General features: G+C 43.3%; 1 long non-coding RNA gene across 1 annotated transcript in view, besides 4 other annotated features; it reads left to right on the forward strand.

The window, feature by feature from the left end:
- Nucleotides 1-20,759, forward strand: part of LINC01839 (long intergenic non-protein coding RNA 1839) — a 76,964-nt gene that overhangs the window by 30,399 nt on the left and 25,806 nt on the right. The window contains exons 5-6 of the long non-coding RNA XR_924788.3: nucleotides 1,137-2,105; nucleotides 2,228-2,401. This is a non-coding gene — a long non-coding RNA (long intergenic non-protein coding RNA 1839). The remainder of the gene's footprint in view (nucleotides 1-1,136; nucleotides 2,106-2,227; nucleotides 2,402-20,759) is intronic.
- Nucleotides 7,299-7,799: an enhancer, noted in NCBI's record as "H3K4me1 hESC enhancer chr3:184231385-184231885 (GRCh37/hg19 assembly coordinates)". NCBI's record gives its function as "activates a minimal SCP1, AML or CMV promoter by ChIP-STARR-seq in naive H9 embryonic stem cells {active_cell/tissue: H9 hESC(naive)}" and the evidence as "EXISTENCE:reporter gene assay evidence [ECO:0000049][PMID:30033119]".
- Nucleotides 7,503-7,797: an enhancer, noted in NCBI's record as "tiled region #6101; K562 Activating DNase unmatched - State 20:ReprD". NCBI's record gives its function as "activates a minimal TATA promoter and a strong SV40 promoter by Sharpr-MPRA in K562 cells {active_cell/tissue: K562}" and the evidence as "EXISTENCE:reporter gene assay evidence [ECO:0000049][PMID:27701403]".
- Nucleotides 18,698-19,502: an enhancer, noted in NCBI's record as "H3K27ac hESC enhancer chr3:184242784-184243588 (GRCh37/hg19 assembly coordinates)". NCBI's record gives its function as "activates a minimal SCP1, AML or CMV promoter by ChIP-STARR-seq in primed H9 embryonic stem cells {active_cell/tissue: H9 hESC(primed)}" and the evidence as "EXISTENCE:reporter gene assay evidence [ECO:0000049][PMID:30033119]".
- Nucleotides 19,503-20,305: an enhancer, noted in NCBI's record as "H3K27ac hESC enhancer chr3:184243589-184244391 (GRCh37/hg19 assembly coordinates)". NCBI's record gives its function as "activates a minimal SCP1, AML or CMV promoter by ChIP-STARR-seq in naive and primed H9 embryonic stem cells {active_cell/tissue: H9 hESC(naive and primed)}" and the evidence as "EXISTENCE:reporter gene assay evidence [ECO:0000049][PMID:30033119]".

Below are 20,759 nucleotides of genomic sequence, written 5' to 3' on the forward strand. Positions count from 1 at the left end.
CACCCTGCTGCCCCGGGAGGCTCAGCTGAGTGCCCTTCTGGTTTCAGCTTTTGCTGCTATTGGAGGGCAAAGGAGTTCACTTTTCTTTTAAGATTTGGCCTGTCAGCTGCCCAAGACTGGTTCTGGAAACCCTCTCGATGCCCCCTGTAAGCGTCTCTGCATCCAGTAGCAACTTTTCACAATAGAGAGTAGAATGGCAATCTCATACCAGAAGGGGTTTTATTTATTCTCTGGTCTCTTCTGATATCTATGGCTGGAGCCTCCTCCCCTTCCTCTCTTTTTCCAGACTTACGCATGCTTCGTTTGATTCAATCACATAATCTGACTCATGAAGGTATAAATCATGCAAGAATAACCAGCCAGTTAATGTCAAATAGGGACGACCATATGTCCATGGGGATGACTAGTTCTTTGTATCTTTTCCAGTGAAATGTGCTTATCTAGTTTATAATTCCATTGTTAGTGGAAAGTATATGAATTTGACTCAGCCCCTGTCCTACCTTCTGAGGGGAAGTCCAATGCTCTGCCCAATGTTCCCCCTCCCGTCTGGCTTGGAGTGTCTGAATCTGCTCAAGCGGTGCCTTACTTGCAAACACATTCTGCAGAAGCTCCCTTTGCTCCGTTTCTGCACTGACCCAGATGGGAGACTCGGCTCCTTTCCACGGATTGTCACCTCTAATATCTGGAAAACAAAACAAAACAAAGCAAAACAAAAACACATGCAAAAGACATTTGTTCGCTCAGCAGGCTTTATTATGTGTATGAGGATGATGATATCATCCCAAAGCAAAGTTCTCAATATTGGGTATTCAATATTTCTGTTCTTAAAAGTCCTTCAGTAATATCAGATGATTCTATTCCTATAAAGTCCCCAACTGGTGAAAGGAAGCTAAGGTATTAGAAGTCAGGTGAGTGGTTAGCATGGTGGGGGAGTGACTGAGTGGAAGCATTAGGGGGCTTCTGGTGTTCTAGTAGAGTTCAATTTCTTGATTAGATGCTAGTTACACATGTGATTTTGGAAAAGCCACTGAACTCGTGATTTGTGCTCTTCTCTGTATTTATGTTATGCTTCAATAATAAAGTTTATGTTAAAAACTAAAGAAAAGATAAGAAGTCTCCAACCACCTCATGTGCAGGCAGGTTACTCAACTCTGCAGAGAGGGACAGAAGGGTCTTCTACCAACCCAGCATCTGCACCCCTGAAGTCAGACATGGCTGTGGTCGCTTTTGGGTTTTGACCTGTTAGCAATGTTTTCAAAAAGGACCAAGAGAATGCAGGCATACAAGCACTTTGTGGATGGTGGGCCCTGTGCAGATTTGGCCTGTCACAAACCCTGCTTCATACACATCCTCATAGCAATCACAGCAGTGAAAACTGGGAAGACTCGCCCAGGTGCCCGCTCCCCACTGGCCCGCCCTTACTCCCTCCACCTCTCCACAGCAACTCATCCTTTGGACCACCCAAACCTGTCAGAAGAGTGTCTCCGTCTCCATTTTTGACTTTCCAGAGAGGTCTGAAGCCACCTCCACACAGTGAGGTGGCAGACTTGTGGACAGGTCCTGAAGCCATACCAGGAGCTGACCAGCCCCAGAAAATGAGGACATGGCTGCAGGGATAGAAAGCCAAACTGTGGGTCAAGGGGACTTCAGCCTGTCCATCTGGGGGCACGCTTAAAGGTCTATGATGGGGCCAAAAAGAAAGGTGCAGGCTAAGGACAGAAGGACAGCTCAGCCTGAACAGCCCCATCCTGCAGCCCACCCCAGCCCTGAGCCTCTGGAACTCTATCACTGCATCCTGGGGCACCTGCCCCCCAAGCCCCCACCCCAGGAAGAGTATCTATGCTGTCAGAGGCTGCAGACGGTGCCAGCAGAAGGTGGAGAGGAAGCTTGGGGCCTTTGGTGGGTGGGACGCATCAACACACACAGCCGCAGCAGCTGCACATAGATCAACAGGCCATCCGTGCCTCGAACACCTACATCAACGGCCAAGGCCTTGGCCACCCTGCCCAGCTCCGTGCACCGCTAGTTGCCTTGGTGGATCACAGCCGCTCCACGCTCCACAGGAAGAATCCCAAACCCGGTGACCGGCTGCCCCAGCATTCCAAGTAAGACCAGTTCCTCAAGGTCCTCCCTGTTCTTCCTCACCATCTGTTTTGTCCTTGGAGGATGAAAGAACTTAGCAAGGATGATATTAAGGAGACAACCGCTTTCTCTGTCTCTTCCACAGGTACCTGCTGCTGATACCTCTACCCTTGGTTAGACACAATTCCAGCAGGGCAGGACCACTTGCCCTGAGGAGAAGAGCCCAGGGACTCGTCACAGGCAGGGAACCACTGCCTCTTCTATCCTGCCTGGAGCATAACGGCGGTCCAATGAGTAGACAGGTGGACTCACCACTCAGGTAAGTGCTTCCCGGGGCAGCAGGAGGTGCCTCAATAATGGCATTTTGCCCTTGTGCCTTCAGTCACACCCGTCTGCTCTGCCCAGGCATAAAGCTGATACATGGGAATGGTGTGTGCCATGGCAATGAAGATCATCATTATGACCATGGTGCCCGCATGCCAGGACTCTGCGGCCTGGAACTACAAGTCCAGTCTGATTCACAGGAGCATCCACATTCTGACGCCTCTTAGCCCCCACCTGATCACAGAGGCTCTTAGGGTCTTGCAGAGTTTCCCTTCAGCACCTGCGCTGAGGGAGACTCTGGAATCTCACCGGCCCAAGAATCAGTCCTTGTGGCTGCTCTGGCAGTGGGTTGCTGGTCAGGTGCAAAGGTATTGCCCGTGCTGACGGCTGGGCACTGATCCCACACTCGCCACCCTCCACAGCTCCCAGGGAAGCTGCAGCTGGCTGGGTGGAGCCCTCTTGACCTCAGGTGGCCTGGAGTGCTGCCATCGCCATGGGGGACGCTCTTACTACCGGCTGGGCTGGGTCTCTGAGCCTGGGTCTCCACTGACAGCAGCCTCCACAGCTGTCCCTGCATGGTTTCAGATCTCTGCCAGTCTCTGTAGGGAATGATGCTTATGCCAAGAGGGAGGGAAGCAGCTCTTTTATCCCTGGAGGGTGGTGGGGGGTACACAGGAACGTTCTTTGAGTTCTGCAGGATTCTACCTTTCTCCTCCACCCTCCACCCAGACGATCATCTTCCCAAAGCACGTTCGTGCTGCTGTGGTAGGCTGGGTTGGGGTCGGGTTGAGGATCAGCCTCCCAGAGTTTCTGAAACCCCAAAGTCACTTAGGCCCTAAGAGTGGGGAGACGAATGTGGATTGTAACAGGAGATACCTTTGTCCGGTAAAGTAAGTGTTCTCTTTGGTTCCATGCTGTTTCTTCTTACAATGGCTTGTATCAGGGATGCCCAGGGTATCAGTTGTCTCTGAACTGTGACTATTAACAAAGTTCAAATTCTTTGAACAGCCCCCACACAGTTCAGCAGGTACAGACCTTATGGGAGAGGAGGGGCCTTGTGGACATAGTTATTCTGTTTGGCTGTTCAGCATCTGAGCCTTGTTCCTCTATCTAAGGAATTCCCCATCTCATAAGCAGGTAGGAGGCAGAGCTCAGTTCTGCATAATACCCCACCATGGGCACCTTGTTACATTTTACCACTCCATTCTCCCCGCAATGGGCACTCAGGTGATCTTCAACTCCCTGCCACCATAAAAAACAAGCAGTGATAACATCTTCATATGTGCTCCCTATGGGTCCGCATGAGAACTTCCCTGGGGTATTATGCAGAGACTAGACGCCTTGAATTAGATGTCACACTGCAACGTGGTTGGGTGTTAAAAATATAAAAAGGAGGAAACAGAATAAGACCTATCATGTGGTAGCTTTCAAACAGGTTTTTTAAATGTATGCAAATAAATCAACAGTACACATTTGCAAGAACACATTCAAATAAAGTTGCCCATTAACATGGTAAAATAGCTACCTGTGGAGGAAGGGGAATGAGAATAGGGACTAGAGATAAAAGAGAAGTCAGTCAATACAATAATGAAATGGCTTTGTGCAACCCAAGAATAATTATACATCGTGGGTATAGAAACTGGAATAATTCAAACCCCTTCCACCCAGGCGAACAAATGAAACAAACAAAAACAACAGGTACATGATATGTACATAACATCTCGATTCTATAAGATGGAGTGTGAGAAATGGCCACATGAGACAAGGCAGGGAGAGACCCTGCCTGTGTTAGGAGAATCAGAGCAGGCTTAACAAAGAGGCATCATGTTTGAGTTAATGTAATGATCTAAGAACAGGCCTTTTCCAGGTGGCTCACATCGGAGAGGTCTACTCAAAGAGGAATTTGTCCACCCACTTATAGAGACCTTGGGACCAAATCCATATCTGATTACCACTGGGAAGCCCAGTCATCAGAGATGCCTTCATACATGGGTGGATGGTCATGGAGACAGGAAGATGGCCTCGAAGCTGGGCCCAGTGGCATGGGCTAGGTCATAGGCCATAGGGAGTGGCTGGTTATAAATTGCTCTCTGTATTATAATGCATTATTTAGTCCCCTTATAAAACTCAACTGTGGGTGAATAAAAGGAAGGATCTAAGTTCAGCCAGGAAAGAAGTGGTACCAAGGGGCATTAGAGATTCCCTGCCAACTGTTTCCAGTAATGGTAGACTAAGGGATAAATCACCATTACTTCTAAAGACAGCTACAAAAGTTAGAGGAGATATCAAACTATCTTCTTAATAGCACTGCAGGCCTCATTAATAGAGCCGAACAGGGAGGGGTAAGAGCCTAAACTGGTTACTTGGGATGTGTTCACTTCCTGGGAGAAGGCAGCTGACATGCCAAGGTCCTTGGGTGAGTGTGAGGGGTCATATTGCATTACATAGTGTCCTGGAGATGTGCAAGTCACTTGTACCCCACTGATATGTTTACCCTGGGCTGTCTGCCAATCCTCAGAACCATGTGAGGTGAGCAGGGTGAACAGTACTTTTGGGGGGCTCCCTAGAGCTGGAGGAACAGTTGGTGTCTACTGTTAGTAAAGAAGGAAACTTAGTATGAGCCCACTATGTGCTCTGAGTAGTGGCCCCAAAGGGCTGCATCTGGAAAAGGGGGTGGGTACTGGCCCTGTGGACATACAGAACAGCCTCAAGCCTTATTCCCGGACTGCTAGTTCCCTCAGGTGTTGGAAAAAAGGAAAAAAAAAATCCTCTTTGGAAGAGGATCCTAGATTTCAAATTAACTCTCAAAAGAGCCATTTCAAATAAATTGTCCAGAAAGCACAGAGGCACAAGAGCTACATGAGACAAAACACCACAAGTCAGAATCAACAGAAACTGTGGACCATAGAAATAGACCCACCGGATCCCAGATATTAGAATAACTCGATACAACCTGTAATGAAACCGTGCTTACTGTGTTCATGGAGATAAAAATTGAATTTAAAATTTTATGTAAGGATATAAAAATTTTGAAAGCAACGGTGAAGATTTTAAAAAGAACCATTTGATATTATAGAACTGAAAAGTATGATAACTCAATAAAGAACTCTATAGAAGAGTTAAGAGCTAATAATTGGTGGAAAGGAAGATAAGTCAGAAGAAACTATCCAGAATGAAGTCCAGAGAGGCATAAAGATGGAAAATACAGATAAGAAGATAAATAAAATAGAAGACACAGGGAGATAATCCAATATACGTTTAATTGGAGTTCTAGAAGAGAGGAGAGAGAGAATGGAGCAGAGGCAATATTTGAAGAGATAATGGCTGAGAATTTTCCAAAATTGATGAAATAACACAATCCACTGATTCAGGAAACCAAAGGAGAGATTCCTACAAGAACTAGGAAGCTTCAGGAACCAGGCATTTGTTAAAGCATAAATGTCTCCTGTGGAAGTTCCCTTTTCATGACAAGGGAAGAAAGCACTTGAGGGAGCCGGTGGGTTTCTTTGCAGAAGAGTTTTTGGTTTTGTTGTTTGCTTGTTTTTGAAGATAGGAGAGATTTGATTATGTTGAAAAGCTGAGAGAATAAACCAATTGAGAGGGAGAGGCTGAAGCCACAGGAGAGAGGAGGAGTAATTCATGAAGCATGAAGAAGTTTTTAGAGGGCACAGGGACCGAAACTATGAAAATAATAACAGCTATCCTTTACTGAGCATTACATGTCAGAGCTCTCTCAGGAAATTGGTCACACATTGATACTAATTCTTATAATCGTTAACGATGAGTATTTCTATTCAAATATCCTTATGTTAATTGATGTTCTAAAGAGAGAGAGAGAAAAAATCTTGGTCATATAGCTAGTAAGTGGTGGCAGTGGGATCAAAATCTGGTCTGACTTACTCCAAAGCCTGTGCCCTTTCCACTCTACCAGCTGCTTCCAGAGCTCCAGCTGGCCTCCTCTTTGTCTGAGATAGGATGCAAGGAAGAGAGGATGAGTGTGGAAGTGAAGATGTTTGGAGATATTGTAGAATACAGGAAGTTGAAGTAATTCAGGCTGGAGGCTAGGTCATTCCCAGGAAAATGTAAGGGATTCTACCTGCAGAGTTCGAAGGATGTGGGAATTCAACAGAGGAGCTACCAAGGAAGGGCCGACCAGGGGAGAGGGAGAGGAAAGTAGCCAAGGTGAGGCGAGCCAAGTGCCCAAACCATCAATGGCAGCATGTAGCGGTGCTCCAGAGGCAGAGAGAGGAGATCAAGAAACGTGGGGCGGAGAGGAGAGGGGAAGAGTTTGAGAAGAAACAGAATACGTCACAGTCTCAAAGCATCTCCCCCCAAATATTTATTAATTACAAAGGGAAAACTAGTCATTTTACAGTGGGGAAACCAGCAGACATCACTATAACAAAGTGATCTCAAAATATTGTTTATTAAAAGAGACAATGAGACGAAGCTCCTGGCAAGGAATAAGTGACTAAACCATGGCTGTTCTGTGGTCTTTGCAGTAATAACAATATCCTAAATGACCTGCGGCCAAAAGATCTCCCCACCTCATCCCACCTCAGTGCCAGGTTCATCTGTGCTAATGTATCACCGAGTCCTAAAGGATGACTGAGTCGTCCTTGGGTAACACGTGGTTAACGCGTGTGCATTTGACAGGGGTCTTCTGTAATAATGGGGTGATTCTCACGCGTGGGCGGGATTCAGGCACGGCAGCAGCATTGGGAGAAGTGCTTTGGGGCTGGGGTGAGAGGAGTTTGGGATCTCCACGGGTACTAGGTGCCCCCGCTGTCCTCTATGGTTGGGCTCTTGCGTGCGGCGGCAGATCCCGGGCGGCGCTTCGGCAGATCCTGGATGGCGCTTCGGCAGATCCTGGATGGCGCTTCGGCAGATCCCGGACGGCGCTTCGGCAGATCCTGGACGGCGCTTCGGCGGGGCTGGCCTCCCGCACACACTCGGGTCTCCAGAGTCGGGTGTGCGCGTTGGGGACGCTTCGTCCTGCAGTTGAACGCCCTGAAGCGGGAGAATCAGCGGCCTCCCCGACCCTGACTGCGCTGTAGGGTCTATGAGCTCCTCTGCAGCGCCCGACCTCCTTCGCCAGCAGCCCCAGCCCCCTGCGCAGAACCAGTCTACGCGGACGCCGGAGTCCCCCTGGGCTGCTGGAGAGCCCGAAAGCTCCCGGGGCCGTGTCTTCTGGGAAACGCGCCAATGCCCTCTAGTGGGCGAGCTTTGAACTTCCCTGAGGCCCTACACTGACCTGAGCAGGGGAATTAAATCTCCGGAGCGTCACCCGTGTCTTGCCGAGAGCGGGGCGCAGTGCAGCCCTGGAAGGGCGGAGAGAGTGAGGATGGTGCACACCCGAACCAGCTGGGTCGAGTCAGCCCCCTCCCAGGAGGGCGGCGTGGTCTCCTCCTGCCTCATCGTCCCCCTCCCCGTCCTTCACTCCTCCCAGCTAGAATTGGCACCATCCACTCTTCACTCTCCTTGAGCGAAAAGAAGGGAGACTTGAACACATCTATGCGCCAGGCAGCTTCACTTCTTCATCTGGAAGCTATTTCTAAAAAGGATTTGAAGTGATCACAAAGGCTTACAAGGGAACTAAAGAAAGATGGGGAAACAAAGACGCACGGGCTAGCACTGAAAATGTCTTAAGACCCTGAACGGTCACTAGACCCGGAGTAGAGATAGGACGTTAAACTTCCAAACCCTTAGAGCGTTAAGAAAGACGAGACCGGGAAAACTCCAACAGTCCTTCAGGAATCAGGAACAAAAGACCAAGGCAAGGGGAAGCAAAAGAGGAAGGGGCAGGGAAGCCATGGTAACTAAAAATAGAAAGGAAGGACAAAAGGAGAAACCACAGAACAGAGCAAAATTACTGCAGACGGATTAAACTCCCCTATTAAAAAAAAAAAAGTAAAAAGCCTAAAACGGCCTATCTACCTAGCTTCTAAGATACATAGCTGTAACAAAGTGACATTTAGAGTTTCAAAATAAAGAGGTCAGTGAGGATATACCAGGAAAGGGCTAACATCTGTACATCCCTCCAGTTGGGGGCCTAACTCTAAAATACAGCTCACTTCCACCCGTGTGTCTTCTTCGCCCCGGTGCCACTTCCTAAGGCACACCACAGTGACTTCCCACCTGTCCCATAGCTATAGCTTTCTAATTGGCGTCCTTAGCCCCCCTTGCCTTCCTCCCTACAAAGCACATATAATATTCTTTCAAAAACATAAATAAGAAGCTGGGCGTGGTGGCTCACGCCTGTAATCCTAGCACTTTGGGAGGCCAAGGTGGGTGGATCACCGGAGGTCAAGGGTTCGAGACTATCCTGGCGAACACGGTGAAACCCCATCTCCACCAAAAAATACAAAAAATTAGGTAAGTGTGGTGGCAGGCACCTGTAATCGCAGCTACTCGGGAGGCTGAGGCAGGAGAACCGCTTGAACCTGGGAGGTAGAGGTTGCAGTAAGCCAAGATCCTGCCACTGCACTCCAGCCTCGGCGACAGAGCCAGACTCCATCTCAAAAAAAAAAAAAAAAAAAAAAAAAAAAAGCATAAATCTGGCTAAAGTCCTTCAATGTCTTCTTATGGCATTTAGAGTCAAGTTCAACCTTTTTACTCTGGCCTACAGCCCCCACACCACCCCACTTTCTCTCACAACACCCTCTTCCCTTCTAGCTGCTGTCCCAGTGGCCTTCTTGCTGTTCTTCAAACCCACCCTGGCACACACTGTTCCCTCTGGCTGGAATGCCGTTCTTGGAGCTCTTCCTCTCCTTGCCTGGGTCCTAGCTTCAGGATCTCCCCTGGAGGAAATCCTTTCCTGGCCACTGTGTCTGGAGTGAGGCCCTTTGCCTAGCTACTCTTCATCACTGCTCTGTTTATTTCCTGCAGAGTACTTTTTACAGTCTGTGAATATCTTGTTTATTTATTTGCTTATTTATGTCTTCTCTAGTAGAATGTTTACTGCAGTCTTTTGGGTTCTTCTCCATGTATAATCATAGTATCTGCAGGTAAATATAACTTTTTCTGCTGTTAGAATTCGTTCTTATACTTTCTTTTTTCCCCAATAATGCAATTGAGCCTTTAAAACATGTTGAATAATAATGATCATGGTAAGCATCCCTTCTTTGTACTTTCCTAATTTAATGGAAATAGCTTGAGGGTTTCATGGTTTTAGTAAGAAAGATATTTGCTATTGACTTCTGGTAAATATTTTTCATCATATTTAAGAAATGTCTTTCTATTCCTACATTACTTTTACTTTTCCAATTTCTTCCTGGGTAACTGACCTATTTAAATTTTCAATCTCTTTTGATATCAGTTTATGTTTTTCTAGGAATTCAACAATTCCTAGATTTGTTGAAACAAATCTCTAGATTTTCAAGTTGGGTGCCCTAGGGTTGTATGTAATATTGTCTTATAATTATTTTTCTCTCTTTTTGTATCTGGCATTATATCACCCTCTTAATTTCTAATATTGCTTGCATTTGATTTCTTTCATTTGTTCCTAATGGTCGGCAGGGGATATCTATTTATCTTACAAAAATTAGATTTGGCATAAAACTACTGTATGATCCAGAAATTCTGCTCCTATGTATATATGCAAGAGAATTGAAAGCAGGAACTTCAACAGATATTTGTACACTCATGTTCATAGCAGCATTATTCACAGTAGTCAAAAGGTGAAAGCAATCTAAGAGTTCATCAGCAGATGAATAGATAAACAAAATGTGGTATAAACAGAGATAGAACATTATTCAGCCATAAAAAGAAATGAAATTTTGATATATGCTGTAACATGAGTATGTCTTTTTTTTTTTTTGAGACAGAGTCTTGCTCTGTCGCCAGGCTGGAGTGCAGTGGCGCAGGCTGGAGTGCAGTGGTGCGATCTCGGCTCACTGCAACCTCCACCTCCCGGGTTCAAGCGATTCTCCTGCCTCAGCCTCCTGAGTAGCTGGGACTACAGGCGCGTGCCACCACGCCCAGCTAATTTTTGAATTTTTAGTAGAGACGGGGTTTCACCATGTTGGCCAAGATGGTGTAACATGAATATATCTTAAACATTATGCTATGCGCAATTAACCAGACACAGAAGAACAACTATTGTATCACTGTAGAAAGTAAAATAGAGGTTACCACTGGTGGGCAGAGGGAGGAAGGGTGAGTTATTGTTTTAATGCATACAGAGTTTTTACTGGGAATCATAAAAAAGTTTTGGGTATAGATAATGGTGATGGTTATACAACATTGTGAATGTATTTAATGCCACTTAATTGTACATCTATGAAAGGTTAAAATGACAAATATGTATATTTTACCACCATAAAAAGTTAGATTTCGGATTTTTTTAAAAAATTCTTTCCATTTATTTTTGACACTTTCACTAGTTTTGGCATTTACTTTTGCTAATTACCATGACTGAAGTATTTGTTCCATTTTTAATTTTCTAAAATGAGTTCCATATTCCTTTAATTTCAGTTTTCTTTAACAATGAAGGCATTTAAGACTGTGATTTTTCCTTCGAATATGAGTTTAGCATACCAAAAAATAGGATTCATTGCTTTCTAGATAGTTTTTATTCCAATTTTGATTTATGTATTGATCCAGGGTTTTTTTATTCTAAGCAGTTAATAGTTTAGTGGTCATCTTTTTATTATTATTCTCTTATATTCTAAAATATTTATCAGAAAATACCCTGCAAAAATCTTCACTTTTTTGAATTTTTCAAGCTTTGTTTGTGGCCAAGTACATGACTGATGTCTATCTATCTGTCTATCCATCTATCTATCTATCTATCATATCTATCCATCTATATCTATCATCTACCAATGTGTTATTTACATAAGAAAAAAGCATCTTCTATATTTGCATGTTTCACAGTTCTATACACATCTATTAAATTGAGCTGGTTGATTGTAATACTCAGACCTTCTATGTCCTGGCTAATTTTTATCTTCTAGATCTGTCAGATTTTGAAAGATGTAGATTAGAATCTTCCACCGCAGTTTACGTGTGCATGTTTTTAAATAACATTCTCCACGTTTCTAACAGTTTTTGCCTTATAGATTTGACTGCCATGATGTTTAGTGTTTAGAGATTTACGTTTAACATCTTCTTAAAGTGTGCCTTTTATCATTACATATTATCTCTGTCTCATTTAATACTTTTAACCTTCAATTTCATGTTGTCATTTTAGCTTTTTCTTTGTATTTGCCTGGTATTTCTTTTTTTCTTTCAGAAAACATTTGCTTTATTCATTTGTTAAATTCTTATGGGTTGTCATTCATAAGGCACATAGATGTAGGTATTGTGGACACCAGCATATGTTGATTTTACAATATTCTGGGAAACAAATAAATAAATCAATAATTACAATATCCTGAGACGTGGATATGACAATTTGGTAAAAATGCTAGACCACATAGAAAGGGCATCTTAAGCAGGCAGAGGGGCTCAAAGAAATCTCCCCAGACGAGGGCAACTTTGAGCTGAGACAAGATTAATGTGAAAAAGGACTTTCTTCCTAAGTGGTTCTGTTTTATGATGGAAAACTTTCTTTAAAAAAATTTTGAAGATTCATAAATGACTGCAGAGCATTTCCTTATGGAACTACTATGGATAATACAGATATTGTAGCATAGTATCTATATTAATCTATATCATCTATGGCAGTTCCACAGGGAAATGCCCTGAGGTCATTTATCAGATATCACAATATATGTATGCCTGGTATTTCTTTAACCATCACTTTGTTTTAGATGTGCTTCCTACAAAAATTATACATTTTAATTTGGTTTTTCAATCCAACCTGAGAGTCTTTATCTTTCATATGAATATTCAGCTCTTTCACACTTAGTGTAACAGCCGATATATTTGATTTTATTCTTTCCATCTTTTTTTATTTTTACTATTTGTCTTAATTTTTATCTTTTTCCTCTTTTCTAATGTATTTTCATTACTATTCATTTCTTTCTCCCCCTTTGTTAAATTAGAAGCACTCATGGGCTTTCCTAATCAAAACTAGATTTATTTACTGTTGTATCAAAACATGGCAACAACCTGCTGCCACACCCCCAGGTGCTCACTGCTTGGGCGCCCTCCTCCCAGTGAGATAAATCCTTTAAAACACCTTTGCTTCCTCACTGTTCCCAAATATTCTCAACTCCTTGTTTTTTTCAAAGACGGTTCAGTGTTCCTGACTTATAACTAATATTAAGTTTGTCCCTTATGATAAAACCGTTCTTACTTCACACTCATATTACAAATTTTCGCACTATTCTCATCCATTTAAATCTAACAATATATAATGCAAACATCATTTCTCAGTAACTGTCTCCCTTTCTTTCTCATATTTCCTTTTGTTGAAGTCTCTAGATTCATTTCTTATTTGGTTATTCTTGGCATCTTTCTTTTACTTGACAGGTAAGTGGTCTTTTACCTGTGTATAAGATTCATAGGTCCCTGTCCTTTCTCTTAATATCTGTAGTTATTAGTCTATCATCCCTTAGACCCTAGGGCTGTGGCAAAACAAAACAAAACAAAAACAAACAAACAAACAAAAACCTCCTATCAAGCTAGTAATATAAGGAAACTTCCTTAATACAGTAAGGTTACCTACAAAAAAAACTTATCACAAACATCATAATTAATGGTACAATGCTGAAACTTTTCACCTTTAGGTCAGGAATGAGGCAAGGATGCTCAATTTCACTATTTCCACTTAACATATTATTGTATATCGAAGCCGGTGAGAGAAGGCAAAACAAAGACATAAAAAATTATATTATTTAGGCCGGGCACGGTGGCTCACATCTGTAATCCCAGCACTTTGGGAGGCTGAGGCGGGTGGATCACGAGGTCAGGAGATTGAGACCATCCTGGCCAACACGGTGAAACCCTGTCTCCACTAAAAATATAAAAAAGTAGCCAGGCATGGTGGCAGGCGCCTGTAGTCCCAGCTACTCCACAGGCTGAGGCAGAAGAATGGCGTGAACCCTGGAGGCGGAGCTTGCAGTAAGCTGAGATTGCACCACTGCACTCCAGCCTGGGGGACAGAGAGAGACTCCATCTCAAAAAATATATATATAAAATAAAATAAAAATTGTATTATTTAAAAGAAGGAAATAAAACTATCATTAGCTGTAGGCAGTGTGACTGTGTATGTAAACATTCTAGAACAATCTAAAGATAATATGTTTAATTTAATGAATGGATTTAACAAGAATGCTGGCTCCAAGGTTGATATACCAAATATAGCACTGATTTGTAGCTCACTATTATTGCCACGTGTAACAACAGGAAATAATCCCACAAACATAATACAGAGAGAAAGGAGCAAAGGATTAAAACAAATACAGCATCATCTCATTCTTTTTTTTTTTTTTTTTTTTGAGACGGATCTCGTTCTGTTGCCCAGGCTGGAGTGCAGTGGTGCGATCTTAGCTCACTGAAGTCTCTGCCTCCTGGGTTCAAGCTATTCTCGGGCCTCAGCCTCCCAAGCAGCTGGGACTACAAGTGTGCACCACCATGCCTGGCTAATTTTTGTATTTTTAGTAGAGACGGGGTTTCACCATGTTGGCCAGGCTGGTCTCTAACTCCTGACCTCAGGTGATCTGCCGGCCTCGGCCTCCCAAAGTGCTGGGATTACAGACGTGAGCCACCACACCCAGCCTCATTCTATTTGAATAATATATTTTTTTAAACTAAGATATATTGTTTAGAGATATACATATACTGTTTATTACAGAAATCAGGCATTTCAGAAATTAGAAATCCCTCCCTGGTGGGGAGGGAGATTATTGTCTATAAGGGGCACAATGGAGCAGGAGGAGCAGTTCTAAGGTGTTGACAATGGTTTTTTTTTTTTTTTGAGACGGAGTCTCGCTCTGTCGCCCAGGCTGGAGTTCAGTGGCGCGATCTCGGCTCACCACAACCTCCACCTCCTGGGTTCACGCCATTCTCCTGCCTCAGCCTCCTGAGTAGCTGAGACTACAGGCGCCCGCCACCATGCCCGGCTAATTTTTTTTGTATTTTTAGTAGAGACGGGGTTTCACCGTGTTAGCCAGGATGGTCTCGATCTCCTGACCTCGCAATCCGCCTGCCTTGGCCTCCCAAAATGCTGGGATTACAGGCGTGAGCCACCGCGCCCGGCCCGACAATATTTTATTTCTCTACCTGGGTTGTAGTTACACAACTGTTCACTTTATATTTATCATAAGCCATATATATGTGTGTATATATATATGCGTATGTATAAAATCCTAGTTTTCTATATAGAGATATATACCATGTTTATCAATAGGAAGACTCAATATCATAAAGTTGTCTACTTCCCCAAATTAGTCTATGAAGTTACTGGTTTTTTGGTTTGTTTGTTTTTGAGATAGCATCTCACCCTGTCACCCAGACTAGAGTGCAGTGGCGTGAGCATGGCTCACTGCAGCCTTAAACTCCTGGGCTCAAGCCACCCTCCCACCTCAGCCTCTGGAGCAGCTGGGACTACAGGTGAACGCCACCAAGCCAGGCTAAGTTTTTTTTTTTTTTTAATTTTTGTAGAGATGGGGCCTTGCTATGTTGCACAGACTGGCCTTGAACTCCTGGCCTCAAATGATCCTTCTGCCTCGGCCTCCCAAAGTGCTGGGATTATAGGTGTGAGCTACCGTGCCTGGCCCTGAAGTTACTGGGTTTTTTTTTTCTTTTTCTTTTTTATTATTATTATTTTTTTACCGCTTATCCTCAAGTTCTATGAAGTTACTGTTTTAATCAAAATTCCCAACAAAGATTTTTATAGAACTGGTATGCTAACTTTAAAAAAATGTACATTTCACAATAAAAATGCATGTAAAGTACTATAATAAAAGATGAAACAATTTTAAAAATAGAACTCTTGGAGTGGGGAAAGCCTTTCTAAGTAAAGGACAAAACTCAGAAGACAAAAAAGGAAAAATAGAACATGTGCAAATACATTAAAGCAAAATTCTGTATGGAAAAAACAAAAAAAGTAAAAAAAAATGAAAAGTTAGAAAAAATACGGCAACTCATATGTTATATAAATAGCTAATTTCCTCAATATATAGTTAGCTCTTACTATCAACATAGGAATAAATACAGCCCAAAAGAAAATCAGCATACAGCAAGAAAAGATGTATAAATGGCTTAAAGACATACAAAAAGATGGGTTCTATTTCAACCATAATTAAGAAAATGCATATTAAAGAAAAAATAAGTTCTTCATTTTAAAATTTGATAATATAAAGTGTTAGCGTGAATGAGGGCAATGCAGATAGGCAATTCTCATGCGTTTGTTGGAATTGTAAATTGTTGCAATCTTTTTAGAGAGCGATTTGGCAGTCTATCAAAATTACACATGCATTTATTCTCTGCCCATTCCTATAGGGATGCTCCCATTGTTGTAAAGCTGTATGTATAAGAATGATGATTGCAGTGTTGTTTGTTATTGCAAAAGACTGGACACAAGTTAACAGGGAACTGGAAAATGAACTGTGTAGTTATTTTTAAAATGAGCTAAACTTTATGCACTAACATGGGAAGATTACAAAGGGAAAAGCAAAGTGCTGAACTGTATTTTATACTTTAATTGGTGTCAAAAAAATGGATGGGATAGATTTGGAGAGAATATAATCATATGCATAATTGTAGGAGACTACAATATTTCTGGAAGGCTACACAAGAACCTGTAAGCAGCGGAAGCCTGCTGGTGGGGGAGCCGATAACCTGAGGTGGGCAGGTGGGCAGCTGAGTTCCATTTGTACGCTTTGTACTTTTTTTTTAAGAGATGGGGATCTTGCTGTGTTACCCAGGCTGAAGTGCAGTGGCTATTCACAGGCGCCATCATGGTGCACTACAGCCTCAAACTCCTAGGCTTAAGTGATCCTCCTGCCTCAGCTTTCTAACGTGACTACACTGTGCTCATGTCATTTTCCATTTTTTATAAATCTATTGCCCTATATTCTCGCTCTGTCTCTCTGTCTCCGTTTCTATTTGCCTCTCTATTACACACACATAAACTTTGTAAATTCTTAAGTGCATAAAAATTCTCCTGCTTTCTTCCTTTCTCCAAAGGTTCTAATACTTTTTGTCAAACTGGAGAAAACTCACTGTAGAGGCCATCTTCCCATGACCCCAATCTGCATGTTGATACAAATCATTAAATACTTTTAAGGATTATAACTGAAAAGGTTTACAATTAAAACCATACGTAAAGGTGTTGTTTTCCAATTATGAAAGTAAATCCTGGAGACTGCTGAAATTTTATAGAAATCAAGTATCTAGGAATAAATGTAACAAAAGATGTTAGATATATATGAAAAACTTTATTGAAGGATTTTGAAGAAGACCTAAATAAATGAGACATATTCCATGGTTATCAATAGGAAGACTCAATATCATGAAGATGTCAGTTTCCCTAAATTAACCTAGGAAGTCATTGTTTAAATCAAAATCCCAACAAAATGTTTATAGAACTGACAAGCTAATTCTAAAATATGTATGAAAATGCAGAGAACTCCAAATAGTTGAGATAGTCTTGAAAAAAAAATGTATGAATACATGCTCATCCAGAAATCAAGACTTATTATCAAGTTATAGTATGTGAGAGTGCAGTATTGCTAGAGGACAGAACAATGTAACAAAATAGAGAACCCAGAAACAGACCACCACTTACTGGGAAATTTGATTTATGGCAAAGCCAGCATTGCAGATGACTGGAAAAGGATGAGCTGTCCAATAAATGCTTTGACAATTATTATCCAAGGAGAAAGATGATCTCTCCACCACACCTTTACAAAGAATCAAATCCAGATAGATGTAAGACCAAATATAAAACGACAAAATTTAAAAACTTTTAGAAGAAAGTGTAGGGAAACTTATATCTTGGAAGAGGAAAAGGTACTTTAACCATGTCAACCAAAGTACAAACTTTAAAGAAAGAGGTAAATTAGAATATGTGCAGATGTAAATTTTCTGTGTCTTGAAAGACATCACAAATAGTTATAAGATAAGCCATGGAGTGAATGACAATATTTGCAACTCATCCATCTGATGAAAGATTAAGATACAAAATTTATAAAGAATTCTTAAAAACCAACAAGAAAATGTCAACAACCAATAGAAAAATAGGAAAAAGTTATGATCAAGACTTTACAGTATAAAAAATACCAATAAACATAGGAACAAATGCCTGACCTCTAACCCCATGGTAATTAGGGAAATGCAAATTTAAACCATGAGAAGTAACCACACCCATTACACTGGAAAAGAACTGACGTGATGAGAGGCAGTGTTGAGGGCTGGGAGTGTTACTACAATGACTCATCTGCTGCTGGCAAGATCGCTTTGGAGAACGACTGGGCAGTAATTTGTAGCACTGAAGTTAGGCATCCCTTGCAATGTCTGTGGCCAATGCTAGGTGCACTCCATAGAAACTCACATGTGCACAAGAAGACACAGACCAGAATGTTCATCGCGGCACTGTTTGTAATAAGAACAAAATGGAAACATTCTAAATTTTCACAGCAGGAGAATGGATCAATACATTTAGTATGATATTAACAAGTCTACTATACTGCAGTGAAAATGATTTTTTATTTCTTAAAAAACAACAAACATATGTAGTGCCATGTGCCAGGCTCTGCTCTACGTTTTTGAGAAATATTAAGTCATATTTACTGAATGAACCAGAGCCAGATTCATCAACATGAGTCGACATGGATGAATCCCCAGAGCACCAAGTTGACTTAAAAAAGCAAGTCAAAGGAGTGTGCATAATACTTTGTCATATATGTCAAGTTTGAAATACTTATATAATGTTTAGGAATCCACTCATATGTAATAAAGATAGTGAGAAGTCACCTCAGGGATGAGGGTGAGGAAGGTGGTGAAGAGGGTCCCTAAGGGGCTTCAGCAGTGAGGTTGCTCCATTCCCCATGATTATTGATGGGTAAGTTCTTCTCTATACCTTGATATGTATCTGAAATAGTTCATAAAAAAGTTTTTTCAAAAGAAAAAAAAAGCACCCATTCCTATTTAAAATGTATTTCTTCCAGTCTTTCCACTATGCTTAGTTTATATACTTGTGATTATCTTGTGTATACAAACTCACCTTGTGCCTTTTACAGAATGAGAAAATTTCCTTATACTATCGAAAACTTTTCAGAAATGTTATCAATGACAGAATGATATCACAACTGTGGATACACCATAATGTATTTATCAGTGCCCAACTAGTTGATTCCAATTTTAGATAATTTTTTTTCTCATTTTTCAGTGCAAAGAATGTCTGTGTCCATAAAAGCTTTGGGGGAATATTTGGGATTATTTCTTCTGATGCATGACCACTACTAGAACCACAATATCAAACAGTGTGAGCATTCAAAGACTCTAACTCTGTATTATTACATTTTGCCAAAACAGCTAGACCAGTTCCGCCCCCCTCCCCCGTCCCTGACTGTGCCCGGATCACTCCACTTCCTCTGTAGCTCTGTCAGCCCTAAACAGTTTCCTTTTAAAAAGCCCTTACTATTTTGATCGGTGACAATGGAAGCTTATTTGTATTGTTTTGAGAACACCCCCCACAAACGCACGTAAAACCTCTATAAAGGGAGAACCGCCTTGCTGCTGAGGGCGCGGTGGGACCCGTCGCAGGGCCAGCTGCTCCGGCAGGTGCCCCCAAAGGGTCCCGCAGGTGATCCTCGGGGACTGAGCGCCCATCGCCCTTCCTACGCACTCAGATCCGCCGAGCCCAGCGCCCGCCAGAGCCCAGAGAGTCCTCGGGGTCAGAGTGGTCACGTCACCGTCATTCTTTTCCTGCCCGACTAGTCGCTCTGGGCTCCCCGGGGCCGGGGGCCGGGGGCCGAGCCGCCGCCCCGATTCCGGCTTCACCCGCCCGCAGCGCGCGGCGCCCCGCGCTCCATTCGCGCTACCTGGCGGCTGGCAGGCTGCCCCACCCCACCGCGGGCCACACACAGCCAGGGTGGGACCCCGGCCGCTTTCTCTTTCCCAGGGAGAGGACTGGAATTTGGGGGGGAGGTGGGAATTGAGGAAGTCGGGAAGGGAGGAGTAGAGAGGTGGGTGAGAAGGGGGAGGATGCTTCTAGAAGGCGGGTGAGGGAGCTGGGGAGGCCAGGAAGGGGAGGAAGGGGTAAGAGGTGCGGGAGGGCCTAACGGGGAGACTCCGGGGGCAATCAGTGGGTATTCACAGGGAGCTGGGCGCGAGCATCAGCGGGATGAAAGGCAGGTCAGGGCTTGCCCGTCAGGTCCGGACTGCGCCCTGGAGGGGCTCCCAGTAGAGCCTGCGCAGGAGCGCGGGGAGCGCGCAGCCCAGGCCTCTGGCCAGGTGGAGCAAGAGGAGGGCGGAGGTGGACAGCGCATCTCGCCCGTGGAGGACGGGCAAGGACGCCGCCTGCCCAGCTGTTGGAGTCTCCTGGGCACGGACTGAGGGGGAGGGTCTGAAGAGCCCAGAGATCCCAGAGGGACCAGCTTCTTGTTACAGGGAAAATCCTCACCACCGAGAGATGCAATGAGTGAATCACGGTCTAGCCCTGTTTGGGAGACTCTGTGGCCATTAAAAATGGCGATGCTCCCCAGAGTGTGTGGGGCACAGGAATCCTCTAGGGGGCTTACGAAAATGCAGATTCCGGTTCGGGCCTGACATTCTGCTCTTCTCACAAGCCCCCTGGCTCCTGCTATTGATGTAGAGCTAGCTTTAGATTGTACGGTAAAGGGAAAACCAGTAGGTGTGGGATGAGCCCATTTTGGTTCTTTGAAAAATGTGTTTCTTACACAAACACACAAACACATATACATATGCAGGAAATAAGATGCAAAAAACAAGAAAACACCAACTATGTTTTTCCCTAAGAGATGGGATTCTAGTCGATCTAAATTTTCTACTTTTTGCTTATCTCTATTTCCTGAATTTTCTTCAGTAAACATACATTCCTATTGTAAGAAAAAAGATTCTCGCAAAACCGTAGAAGTTACTTATTTCAAGGAGAGTGTAGGAGTCAAGGGAAAGCCTCCTTTGAAGGTTTACTAAAAATCACTGACAAAAGGCAGATTAACGGGAAAAAATGCATACAAATTTATTTGATCACAGTTTATGTGACATGGGAGCCTTTAGAATGACAACCCAAAGATACAAGAGAAGCTGTTTTTTGTTTTTGTTTTTGAGACGGAGTCTCTCTGTCGCCAGGCTGGAGTGCAGTGGTGCGATCTCGGCGCACTGCAACCTCTGCCTCCCAGGTTCAAGCGATTCTCCTGCCTCAGCCTCCTTAGTAGCTGGGACTACAGGTGCGCGCCACCACGCCCAGCTAATTTATTTCTGTATTTTTTAGTAGA

This window comes from Homo sapiens, chromosome 3 (genome assembly GCF_000001405.40).
Source record: "Homo sapiens chromosome 3, GRCh38.p14 Primary Assembly".
NCBI classification, from domain to species: Eukaryota; Metazoa; Chordata; class Mammalia; order Primates; family Hominidae; genus Homo; species Homo sapiens.